Source organism: Homo sapiens, chromosome 13, assembly GCF_000001405.40.
Source record: "Homo sapiens chromosome 13, GRCh38.p14 Primary Assembly".
NCBI lineage: Eukaryota > Metazoa > Chordata > Mammalia > Primates > Hominidae > Homo > Homo sapiens.
The window spans coordinates 77123953-77138155 of record NC_000013.11 but is presented as its reverse complement, the minus strand read 5'-3'; the positions used below and the strand labels follow the sequence as shown (position 1 = coordinate 77138155).

The 14203-nt window shown below is 33.4% G+C and overlaps 1 protein-coding gene across 1 annotated transcript in view; it reads left to right on the top strand.

The window, feature by feature from the left end:
* MYCBP2 (MYC binding protein 2) overlaps positions 1 to 14203 on the top strand; it is a 282438-nt gene that overhangs the window by 188939 nt on the left and 79296 nt on the right. The window contains exons 53-54 of the mRNA NM_015057.5: positions 11614 to 11838; positions 12688 to 12820. Coding sequence (NP_055872.4) covers positions 11614 to 11838; positions 12688 to 12820 — 358 coding nt within the window. The remainder of the gene's footprint in view (positions 1 to 11613; positions 11839 to 12687; positions 12821 to 14203) is intronic.

Below are 14203 nucleotides of genomic sequence, written 5' to 3'. Positions count from 1 at the left end.
TTGGCTTACTGCTTTACGGAGGTTAAGTTGAACAATGATACATCTATAAGTAAAATACTAAATTTTAAATTAAAAAATTACATCAATTACGTCTTATTAAATTTTCCTCAGATTTATACCTGCAGTTAAAAATAAAAAGGATTTTGACCCTCTATGAAAGTGTATTTTAAAGAGATAATTATAGCAACCACTTTTGTACAGTTTTTTTTTCCAATATAGACTTTTTTGTTGGGCAAGGGGGAGTTGGTTTTTGTTTTTTATACAGATGGGAGAGCCAGGCGAGGTGGCTCACGCCTGTAATCCCAGCACTTTTGGAAGCCAAGGCCAGTGGATCACCTGAGGTCAGGAGACCAGCCTGGCCAACATGGTGAAACCCCGTCTCTACTAAAAATGCAAAAAATTAGCCAGGTGTGGTGGCGGGCACCTGTAATCCTAGCTACTCTGGAGGCTGAAGCGGGAGAATCGCTGGAACTCAGGAGGTGGAGGTTGCAGTGATTCAAGATCACGCCACTGCACTCCAGCCTGGGAGACAGAGCGAATCTCTGTCTCAAAAAAAACACAAAAATATAGAGATGGGGTCTCACTATGTTGCCCAGGCTGGTCTCAAACTCCTGAGCTCAAGCGATCATCTTACCTTGGCCTCACAAAGTGCTCATATTACAGGCATGAGCTACCACACCTGGCCATTGTGTGTTTTATTTAAGAAAATTTTCTTAAGTCCCTAATAAAATGTTATTCCAGATTATATTATCTTTTCTACCTTCCTAGTCCAAATTTTCTCTGATTTCTTTGCTCATTTGAGGAGCTGCTTTTGGGAGAGAAAGATACTCACACAGATAAAGCAAGTCAATAAACAAAAGTAGAAAGGAAGAGCAAGAAGTACCATCTGTCACAATTCTGAATCCCACGATTTTATTTTAAAGCATTGTGTTCTGTTACTTGATGCTTTTGAACCCCATCCAAGAGACAATCTGTAGTAGACAGTCTCCTTAAGGTCAGGGAAAGAAGGGAGTAACAAAGGTTAGAGGAGCGGTAAGGAGTGGAGTGAGGCATACAGATACTTGTGGGTGGTTTTCACTGGAATGTGAGTGCGGAGGTTGTTAATGTAAACAGCTCAAGAGTGTCTGGTATTGTTAGGAAGCTAGGGTTTTTTTGGTTTCTTCATTTTAAGAGTAGTAGTGACTTGAGAGTTTTATAAGTTAAAAGAAAGATACTAGTAGAAAAAGGGAGAAATTAAAGATATAGATGACAAGACTGAAGACTGAGAAACAGGAGGAGGAAATGGAATTAAGGGCACCTTAGAGAGCTTGCTTCTGTAAAAGAGAGGGGAATATGCATGGCAGTAGTTATGTTTTAGAGGAGGGAGGGACGAAGGGAAGAGGTTGAGGGAGACTACAAGTTCCCTTAAAATAGAAGATAGGAAAACGATCAGTTCAGAATCAAAAGAATGAGTTAAGTTAGGGGGTTGAGAAATGCAATGAATATTTGAAATATTGTTTGAAGGATTACTGGGCCACTAAAGACTCAATGAGACCACTGTATAGACCCAACTGGAATCCCCTGCCTAGTCCTTTATTGCCCTAAGTGTCTGGAATTAAAAGAGCCAAGAAAGAGCCAAGAAAGCAAATTATAGTACTAGTTGCTGAGCTGCTGTGACAGAAATAGCAATTAAGATTATCAGTTCTGGGAATGTGGACTCAGACCTAAGTTAGAAATGTGAAAGGACAAATGGAAGGTCCAAGGGATTTAGAAGATTTAATAAAATCCTAGAACAATATAGTGAATGCACTATAGTTAAAGAGTTGGAAAAATGCAGGCAATAAAGTAGAATATTTGTATTTGATATCATAGGTAGGGCACTTTAACAAATGAGATACTCTATTACATTGCCATGGGAGGGTGGCTGAAGTGCAGTGCACGTGGAAGTCACTACAAGTGCCTAAGTCTAGGAACTAAGAAGTTAGGCAGGTGGAAGATCATCTGCATGGACTTGAAGACACACAGATGATGTGACTCACAAAGTTAAAGATAAAAACAGGCTGGGCACGGTGGCTCACGCCTATTATGCCAGCACTTTGGGAGGCCAAGACGGGTGGATCACAAGGTTAGCAGTTCAAGATGGTGAAATCCTGTCTCTACTAAAAATACAAAAATTAGCCAGGCGTGGTGGTGGACGCCTATAGTCCCAGCTACTCAGGAGGCTGAGGCAGAGAATTGCTTGAACCCAGGAGGCAGAGGTTGCAGTGAGCTGAGATCACACCACTGCACTCCAGCCTGGGTGACAGAGTGAGACTCCGTCTCAAAAAAAAAAAAGAAAAAAAAGATAAAAACAATGTGTTTACCATTGGAGGAAGGGGTCCATAAGACACAATTTAAAGTCATGGGGGGATGGGAATAGTTTGGATCAGGAAGAAACAGAGCAGTTTGGTATAAAAATGAAAGAACAGGTAGATGACATAAGGATTTATGTTTTGGGTGGTGATCAAAGATGACAGATGGGGTACAGTATGGCAAAATTAATTGGCATAGGGCTCTAAACAGATCTGGGATAAAGTTACTTCAGTACAGGTATTAACTGAGGACTCATACAGAGTCAGAGGCCTGGCATAGGCAGGGACAGGTATGATTTTCTGTAGGGACTAGGGCAGACCCCTTACGCAGTCAGTACATTTTTTTTATGAGTATCTGACTGTGCAGGGCTAAACATGGTAGGACATAGAATAATGATTCCCTCTCATCTTCTCAAGGAAATAACACACCTAAATAGTTGCATCTTGCTGCCTCTTCTTTTGTATGTCTTATACATTTACTGCTGGAAAAACTATCTTTCTCCCTTCTTACTTCAGTTCGTTTAAAGTAAATGAACTTTAATCATGGCTGTTAATTGTAAAACATGACTCAATAAAAAAATGAAAGCTGGGAGATATGAAATCAAATTAGAAGTATTCAAACACCAATGCTGCTAACTTAAAAAGAAGTGAAAGTACTGAAAAGTTGCCTTCAGCACTGTTTGTGTCTATCTCTTCAACCTTTTCTAGTTAAAACAATTTTGTATTGACATCAATGTGTGCACGTTATTTGGATCCCAACTCAAACAAACTATAGAGAGAGGAATGGGGGCAGAGATTGGAAGTTTGAACACTGACTGAATGTTGGATGAATTATTTTTAAAAATAAGATTACTATAATTACCCATTTTAGATAATCCTTAAAGTGATCTTGTCATGCTGTCTTGTTTACTCATGTTTTAGAATTCGTGTATTCATCGTTAAGTATGAACTTTAGCTCAATTTGGATCTATCAGTCTTTCTATTTAAACACCATATTTGACTGAAAAATATTCATATCCTAATTTAGTTCAAAGTGACTTTAACTGTTTTTAGTAATGCTCTAGTTGAGAGACAAAATAACATTAGACATTCATATTATGACTGTATCGTTTCCAAAATAATTTTTAAGTCAATGGGAAAGATAGAGCTAAATAGATGAAGGGTTCAGATCCTCTGTGAGGCATTCATTATCAATTATGTAGAACTTTTTGCCCTTTTTAGAACACTTTTCCTTTTTTTTTTTGTTATTTTTGTTGTTGTTTTTTGTTTTGTTTTTTGTTTGTTTGTTTGTTTTTACAGCACCTTGCCCTGCCACCCAAGCTGGAGTTCAGTGGCACGATCTTGGCTCACTGCAACCTCCACCTCCCAGGTTCAAGCGATTCTTATGTCTCAGCCTCCCAAGTAGCTGGTATTACAGGCATACACCACCACACCCAGCTAATTTTTGTATTTTTAGTAGAGACGGGCAGGGTTTTACCATGTTGGCCAGGCTGCTCTCGAACTCCTGGCCTCAAGTGATCCACCTACCTTGGCTTCCCACAGTGCTGGGATTACAGACTGGGATTAAAGACGTGAGCCACTGCACCCGGCTGAGAACATGCTTTCCAGTTTTATGTCTTAAGAGTCTTTGTTTTGTTGTCTAATTTATCTAGAATGGTTTCACTTCCATTTTTTTCTAATCTTAAGTTGTCCAGACTCAAAAATTGGTTGGTGATCTTCTCTTTATTTTCCATTTTTGCTATAGTCATTAATTCATTAATTGCTCATTTAGTAAATATTTGAGTTCTTATTCGTAGAATTCTTATTTGCATTCTTGTTAGTAATAAATACTAAGCTGGAAAGTAGGCATTGGGTGGAGATGCAGAGGGGAGGGATACAGAGTAAATAACATGGGGTGAAGTTCTGATCCTTGGAGTACTCACCATGTAATGTGGTAGACATACCATATTCACATAATTAAATTGCATTGTGATAAGTTGTGGAATGGCTTCACTTAAGTGACATTTGAGGAGGACTTGAAGAAAAGTTGCCAGGAAACAGTAAAGGAATTTCTAGACAGAGAATCAAATGTTCAGAGTTATGGGGACATGCTATGTATGTGAACTAATGAATAGTTGATATAGGTAAAGCAGAGAATTGAGGGTGGAAAACAGATATGTACTGGGGAGAATAGCTTTCTCTCTTCCTTCTCAGGCAGCACTTAATCTGTAGAAGTAGAGAAGGCTTACTTCTTTCTCCAGCTACCCATAATATTTGTTTTTCTTGCCTTCAGCCCATTTGTGTTTATGTACCTCTTATTTCTGTTTTTAAGCTACTTAAGGATAAGGACTCATTCAGGATCCCTTCTCACTCACATTTGTTTCTTCCTAAGCATTAAAAATTACACTTTGCTCATAGTAGGTTTTCACAGTTTGTTGATGCTTTACACATTTGTGGATGCTTAATTTTAGTTCTTTGCATTTGATATGATCATTCTGTTTAAAATAATTTCTAACATATATATGCTCCTTGCCTTAATTATCTCATTTAATCCTCATTGTGACCCTGTGATGTTAAGCATATTATAATTCTCATTTTTGCAATGAGTAAAGATAGCCACTCACCCAGGATCACAAGTAGAAAGTAGTGGAGCTGGTATTGGAACACCAGTTGATATGATTCCAAAGCCCATGCATTTATGTTCCGTATGCATTAATCTAGTGGAGAGATAAGGATAAATATAGTTATAAAAGGATGAAGCAACTATAGCTGTAATAATCCTGTTACTTTGACTAGAACTGCCAAACTACAGAAAGATAAATACTTATAACCTTAATGGTTGAATGAGGATGAATACCATATGTATTGAAGATGACATGAGTTATTCTTTGATTGCATACCTGGGGAACATTGATTGATTTTAAATTAAAATTCTGAAGATGTGGAATCTGCAAAATGTGAGCTAGTAGAATGTTTCAAATATCAGGGACAATGCAAGTAAAAAGATGAAGAGAGAATTTATTATGCACCTACCAAGGAAGACATTAGACTCTGGAATCACAAGCTTAATTTTTTGGAAAACAAGTGTACTTCTATGATAGGAGATGTTAATGGTTTCAAACTTACACACCCAATTCTTTGGGTACTCTGTCAAAAATGAGATCTTTTAACATTGTGAGGGGGGTTGAGTGGAAGAGAAAGTTTATATCAAGGGAAGTAGATGATAGACAAATGGAAGTATTCTGAGGTATCTTTATAGTTCCCATATAATCTGAATTCTTACAGAATTGAGTTTCTGTATATCTCCATGCATTTATACAGATTACTTCTTATTTTAGGCTGATGGGTGTTCACATATAGAAAGTATACTGATTTTCCAAATTTTGGAACCTGAAAGATTTGAAGTAGAGTTGAAGAGAAAGTATCATTTGTTAATCTTGTTTGTATAGCTTCACCTGGGTTAATTGATAAAATTGGCAAATGTTTCTTGCATTTTAAATCCAATTTCATTCCTTTTTACCTAATAACATTAAATCCAATTTCATTCCTTTTTGCCTAATAACACTTAGCAGTCACAGCTTTAACATACCCCAGATTTCCTGATTTTGTTAATAGCTTTGTGTGTATGTGTATACATAACCCGTGTTTTAATCTCAATAATATTAACTTAATACAACATTAGTAAATGTGCTGTTCTTATATGGTTAAGAACAGCTTTATTTCATTCTTTAGCTTAGTGTTAAAGTTTCGTAAACAGAATGAGATTAAAACAGTTAAATTAAGATTGTAATAATATATATACGCTATTCTTAATTTTCCTGAGTCATTTCATCATTTTGCTTTAACAATGGCAATTCTTAGCTTTGTGCTTATCTAACACAAGGAAAGATTTTTTTCTTTTATTTGCATGAGCATTTGGCATGGTTGGTCACTTATTTTCACTGTGATAATTATTCACTTGTTGGTCTCTTTTCTACGCCATGAAAGATTATCAGCTTAGAGTTGCAATTTGGTGTTCATTAATTTAGTTAGATTCCCAGTATGCTTTAATTTTCTAATTTTCTTGACAGAACTTTTCTGCCTTTAAAATAGTATTTGAGAATGAAATGTTATTTTATATATATGTGTGTTCGTATATACACATGCACACACAAGCTGTGCTTATAATAATCTGTGAAATTATACTATATGAAAGCTAACATATTTTAATAGTGAGAAATTGGGGCTTTGGAAAAATTAACATTTTCCTGAATGTTCATATCTTTAGACTAAAACATTTCTAAATTTCCAAAGAACACTATTCAAGTGTGTGTGTGTGTGTGTGTGTGTTTGTTTGTGTGTGTGTGTGTGTGTGTGTGTTTGAGATGAAGTCTTGTTGTTGCCCAAGCTGGACTTGAACTTCTGGGCTCAAGGAGTCCTGCCTTCTCAGCTTCCCACGTAGCTGTGACTACAGGCATGTACTACCATGCCGAGCTATATTTTTAAATTATTTTGTAGAGACGAGGTCTCTCTGTCTTATCCAGGCTGGTCTCGAACTCCTGGATTCAAGCAATCCTCCTGTCTCAGCCTTCTGAATAGCTACGAGTATAGGCATGCACTACTCACCCAGCTATTCAAGTATATTTTATTTTTAAACTCCAGCTTTCTGTTAGTCAAATTTCTGCTTCTTGATAAATGCAGTTTTATTAGGACATTGCATTTTGAAAATAATCTTAGGGTAAACCAGTGTGAATTAAGAATTTTCTACAACTGCAGAACAAAAGCAAAAAAGTATAAAGTTTCAATTTACATGGAAGCATATACAGAATTGATTTTATTGGCAATTTATTACCACAGTTAGCAGTTAACATCATTTTAAAATATCATTGTACATGTTGTTGACTGAGAAAGCACTTATGTTTGCACATTGACTTAAAAGAGAGACATAAGCTTTAAATATTGTCAACCAGTCATCACATTGCTTCTTTATCACTAACTTTACCTGCATTACTTTTAACAATTGCCTTTCATGTTACTTTAATACTAGAATAATTTATGCTAAAAAATAGAATACGCTAAAAAAAAGTGATATTGTTTTATGTCAAAAAGTCTGTCCCACTATGCTTTGTAAGGGAGAAAAACCCATTGACCAAGTACTCTACAAATTCTTATATACGTGGATGAACCAGTATAGACATTTTTCCCCTAAAACATAGCACTTCAAAATGCTCTGCAATATGTTTTTCACTTTACCTAAAGAGAAAGGACGTATTCCCTATCCACTTTTAATTAGGGGGCAGTTGGCTTTGGTTTTGGTTTACATTTATTTGTAGGCATATTATTAGACACTTTGTTTAGAGTTTTATATGTCTTATATTTATGAATTAGTATATATTTATGTAGATGGGTGTGTACCCACATTCATCTGTACATATATATGTATATATCCATATATATATATGGATATGGAAAATATAGAACTAGAAAACAGTAAATAAAGTCTCATTATCTAAAATGAGATAATGAGAAAAGTTTCATTATCTAAAATGAGATAATGAGAAAAGTTTCATTATCTAAAATGACTTATAATTGATAAGGAATTTTGATGTTTCTTTTTTGTTGAAGTCTTAGTTGATCTTTTTTATTAATATTTTGAATGTCCTCTTTTTTGGTTCAAAATAACCGTTTATCATAATATTTACATAAGCAATAAAATTGTGCAATTGCTACTCACTAGAAAGATTTTAATTTCAAATCAGATAAATATAGATTGATAGCATGAGATAACTACGAAAATGTATATCATTTAAATTATCAGTAAAACATTTTGTGAAGATGTTAATTTTTCTAGGATAACGTTTCTGTGAATTAATTGTTCCTTAACAAAACATTTTTAGACTTAAACTTAGAGATCCTAAATGCTCTGCATTTCCTAAACTTTGAGATAGAGAAAAGTAGGCCTGTCTTTTGATAAAATTGATTACATTTTTATCTTTTGATAAAAAATTGATTGTATGTATTATGTTTTTCTTATCAAATTTGTTAGTAGCATTCAGAAACATTTCCAAATGAATTTTTTCCTACTTATAAAGGGAAGGAAAATTGAAAAAAATGACTCAGACTTTTTATTTTTTACTTTTTTAGTTTTTATTTTTATTTTTGTACTTCAAAAAGTGATAAGTTCACGTAAACTACATGCCATTATTATTCATAATGATAATTGCATTTTCTATACAATCGATATCATTTCCATTTTTATTATAAAACAGCAGACTGGTTTCTGTCATAAAACAAATCTGGCTTGTATTAGAACAAATACATCCTCATTTAAAGAATTTTAAGGTTTCTTTCTTGCATTGAGTATCTTAAGCTTTATAACAACGTCTGGCTCTTAATTTTAGTAAATGGCATGACACACTATATCCATGGAGAGCTTCTGACAAAAACTTACTTATCAGACAGAATTTCTTCGGTGTGTTGTTTACTCAGATGGCTTCAGTTTCTCTTTAGTAAAATAATATTTCCATGTTGGTGCTAGAGTACAGAAAAATGTTGTTACTGTGCACGCATCTTCTGCAGATGATATCCTGTTCCCTTTCTTTGTTGATATTTTTCTTTCTTAAACTTTGTTGCTCAGAATATCTTTAATGCTAGCCAAGGAGTCAGGGATTTGGACGTATTTTCATGGACTTCCAAAGCTTTTTTCCCCCAGGTGAGTTAACTGTAAGGAACAATAATATTTTATTCAGGTATTTCAGCATGTATAACAAATTTTGTGTCTTTAAAACCTTTGCTTAAGATTAATAAAACCTTTTAACCAAAAAAAGATCTATATGAAGTGCTGCAATTGAGTTTTCTCACTCCTGCCAAAAAGAATGTATTATTAGTTTAAGTGATACTTCCACATGACTTCAAATTTGCTATATTTAGTTTTATGAGTAGCTTTTCCAATGACTATATCTAAGATTAGTGTTTTCACAACTAACTTATTTAGGTGACAGTGTCCTGGCCTTATGGCTCTTTTATTTTTTCTGCTGCCAACACTTTCACATTCCCTCTTTGAATGTTCATCTGAGAATGGGATGGGAATGGAGGGAGAAAATAATAATATTGAAATTCATGAATTTAATATGCTGGTACCTGGGTCTTACATTTCTGTATTGAATAAAGCATGTATTTTACTATTGCTTGAGCATGATAGGCACAGTTCTATGACTTTATGTCTGTCAGTGTTTTATACTGTTTAGCACAAGAATTGGATAAACTTTGTTTTATACTTATTAATATAGTTTTATTACCTTTTCAATAAAATATTATTTTAAATTTTTAACAAGTTTTCATAATTGCCTTTCAGTGACTAGTTTGCAATTATAATTAGTTGTGCCAAGGCTTAACTCCCAGTGTTACCCTGAATGATCAAAAGTTAGAATTATTGTTATAATTAATTAAATGCACTAGGAATATTATTAAATACCAGTGAAGTTGGGTTTTTTTGCTAAATCTATGGATATTTGCTTTTTTATGTTGCCATGTAATTTTTAAGAATCAGTTGTGAGTGGGATTAAAACTTGCCCCTTCCAACTATGAAATGGCATGATGTATTTATTTATTAACCATTTACAAACAGACATTTTAAAATGTTTACAGAAAATCTTGTGAGTGTAATAGCAAGTACTATGTAAAGTTTAGACCTGTGTTACTCTCAATTTTTATCTTGAGTGCTCTCTGTGTATTCATGTAGGTTTGCATATATATAAATTCTTACAAATATATATGATGAGTATATAAAATGCGTATTTTACATTTATTTTCGGTTGTAAATCTAAGTTTTTTGAGTGTTTAAAATTCTCATTTCCGTTAAATTTCCAATATGTAACCAAAGAATATTGGTAAATAAAATATAATTACAGTAAATGTAAATTAATTTTTCTTAGTACATATTTGTATAAGTAAAAATTGGTTATTCATCACTATAGTGAGATTCACAAAATATTATGTGAAAGTTAATGGTGACTTTAACATTTTCCCTGACCAGTCATGTATGGAATTAACAAAGTAGCAGGTATACAGAATTCTTGAATCTACATATTTTTAAACCTGAGGATTCTATTTTTAATATTCTACTGTGTTACTGTGTGTATGAACATGTATACATATCTCTTCATTATGAGGCTACTGGTAGGGATAGAACTATTTAATACAATTCTATCTTGCATAATGTTAGTTGTTAAATTTTTATTCTATTTATAACATTATTAAATATCAGTTTTAACCTAATGTTTGCATGTGTGTCTCTTTATGGTTATCTATTACTCTATCTGAATATGAAATAAATTATAGAGTTCATATTACTGTATTTAAAAATGCAGTTTTAAATCTCTTTTAAAGGAGTAATGATGACAATGAGAACACCCAGTGTGGACCCTTTATTTACATTTAGTTGGGAAAAAGAGAAAATATGGAAAGGTTATTATTTCTCTTTATTACATTCACATAGGAAACAATTTTATCACAGCATTACAATTTAACAGAAAATTTAGGGAAGGTTCTTTCATTTTAGAAGTGACTCTTTTCAATAATAAATTTACGTTATATTTACTTAAATCCATGTTTAATTTCTCCTTTCTACTAAAAATATAGTCTGTTTTTCTGTTACTAGCATTAATGTATCACTGCATAGTAATGGCTTAACAAATCTAGCAAGACGTTTTTATTTGTACAATATTAGAGAGTATAAGTTGTTAAAATATTGTAAGCATCAATATTTCATTCATAACTAACAAATAGCAAGATATAGCTATATTTTTAATGCATATTTTTCATCATCTCTGCTTATGGATCAGTTTTCAGATTCTTCATACCTGTTTTCTCTATTTATAAATAATTATTTCAACATGGGAAGAAATGAATATTTAGACTTTTTTTTACCCATAACAATATACAGTAATGCAGTAATAATGATTCAAAATTATTCCCTTGTGGTTCACATAGTATAGTATTTTTATTTTTCCAACTTTAAATATTGCATTAAAGATAAAAGTAAAATCAAGGATGATTATATTTCTCAAATTATGGTGGGCAGAAGCCAGAGGTTGACTGGTTTCCTGCTATATTTTCTTGCCTTCAACTTTATTTTAAATAGCATTGTTGAAAAACTGAGATTCTTTAATTAGTGCTAATGACTAATTCTTCAGTTATCTTTAGTTATGTGTTTTTTTTATATTGACAGTACTGTAGACTTGCTATAAAAGCTATTAATAGGAAGGCTTTGAAAGTGATAATAGATTGTATTTTGTTTATTTTTCTTTCCTATTCAAATTTTCAGGAATCTAAAACTAATACTGATGACTTTTTCAAAGACATAAACTCCTGCTGCCCACAGGAAGCAACAATGCAAGAACAAGATATGCCATTCTTGCGAGGAGGGCCAGGCATGTACAAGGTAGTGAAGACGGGACCTTCAGGTCACAACATCAGAAGCTGCCCTAACCTTAGAGGTATCCCAATTGGAATGTTAGTTCTGGGAAACAAAGTCAAAGCAGTGGGAGAGGTATGGATTCTTGTAGCTTCATGACTTCTAAGATACTCATTTTTAATGTAATACAACCAAAGCATCTCTTCTAAAGGTTGCCATTTCTACCACAGGTTTTTCAATGTTAATGTATTTTATCTTTACTTGTATTGCAAATACATAATTTTTCTGTGCTTCTGTCTAATGATTTGCATAATTATCCTTGTGTAAACAATATATTAACAAATGATTTGTATTGTATATATAAATGTTTGGTATTTGCACATATTTTTTCATTATTACAAATGTACTATACCATCATGGATTATCATCACTTAAAATATTCTATGTGATCGGTATGGAGATGTGGTCATATGCAAAAGGTTTCATTTCTTTGTTCCCATTCATAGGTCTCACTGAAGTCCTGAGCAAATAAAATTACTCTTTAGGCTACTGTGGCATTTGCCTCAGCTGATAAGCTTGAAGATGTAGTGTGTCATGCTATTTCTCAGTAAGGGTCATTTTCAAGTTACACTATGGATACTCTCAACCTAAATAATAGCAAGTCGGCTGTGTTAGGACATTTTAGATGCAGAAAAAAGAAAATGAGCCATGTGTTCTTGGGTAATTCTTAAAATTATTTAGGTGTTATCTTTGTGCTTTGAAAGTTATTATTTTAACCAAATTCATAAATAAGCAGTATTTTACAGAACTTTTTATTGACTTCTGTCTTACCTCAGGCTGTGGCCTTAATTTCAGAAACTAATTTCTTAGTAGAAATGTATTGGAATGATTACACTATTCAGACACGTAAGATTTTTACTGGTTTTCAGACTGAGTTCCCTGAAAGAATCAAGCCAATCAATCATGCTTTTTGTTATGTACCAGGTAACCAATTCTGAAGGGACATGGGTGCAACTGGATCAGAACAGCATGGTAGAGTTCTGTGAGAGTGATGAAGGAGAGGCATGGTCCTTAGCTAGAGACAGAGGCGGAAACCAGTACCTCCGACATGAAGATGGCAAGTTGGCTTAAATTTGTGATTTATTCCAATTAAGCTTTCAAATACAGAAGTTTAATGCCTATTGTATTGCTTTTGTTTTAAAGAGTTTTTTGTGTGTTTGCTTTTTAACAAGCAAAACTAAAAGTTAAAAAATCTTGCAACTGTTAAAATTGGTTTGTAAAATACGTGAGTACTTAATGCACATTAAAGAAGAAAATTAAAAGAAAATTCGAAACATATAGACTCATCTTTATAAAACAGGCTTTTAATTTCATTAATATAAATTTATATACCTCTTTCTTCTGTACCAGTCCAGGACTGAACGTTCTATCCCTTCTATAATAAAATGAAACTTCGGTATTCCAACTACCAATCTCAGTACTTCTCCCAGGCAACTTCATTTGATTGCATTTTGTCTTAGGGAAAGAGCATTGAATAAATGCATAGTGTCTTTAGGGTTTCCTGTTGTTAGATTTTCAACTTTAAATTTTATTTTACCTTTTTCAACATGGCTATCACTTAATAAAATATATTCCTTTTTGTCCCCCTCTCTTTGATATCTTGGTGGCAAAAATTTGTTCTTCGAAGTTGAGACCACATTATCACTTGTGTGATGCTTTAACTGATCACAACAGAGCAAAGAATTTCTTGTGTTCCTAAAGAATTGTGCTCACCACTAGAACAATAGTGTCATAGTGAAGTTCATGTTTATTTCTTCATACCCAGTTATGAGTCCCTTGTGGACAGGCACATGGTTTTTATCTTTCCATTCCTAGTACTGAAACAGTTTTGACACATACTAGTTGCTCATGAAGTTTTGTAATACAACTTGAATTATAAAAATAATAGCACATCAAAATAAGTATGTAAGCAAACATGGACTTGTCTGCCAAATCCCAAAATTTATAGGATGAAGTTAGGTAAATAAGAGAACATGCATCTTTATTCAAAAGATAATAAATTTATAATACTTATTATTCCAAGAGGCAATTTGGCCATAAATATGGATTCAGAAAAGGTTTGAAATTTGCAATAATGATGGAGTATCTTTGGAGATATCTCCCTTTTTCCCCCCACAACACACCTTTGAGGTAGGTGATATAATCTTAAATTTATAGGTAGGAAACTCAAGCTCTAGAATTTAAACTAACGTGTCTATGGTTGTACAGCTGGTGACATAGCAGATGTAAGACTTCAGCCAGAATCTTCATTCGTGTTTTAAATGCTGTACTCATTACACCATGCTGTACACATTGAGCACAACTTGAGAACCTACCTCCTCTCCTTGTTTTTCCCAGATAGACTTTTTTTAGTCTAAGATGATATGGTCATAAAATAATGTCCTGAAACAGTAGAACTGTTCATTTGAAAAAGATAAGGGTTCCGCTTGATGTAAATCAG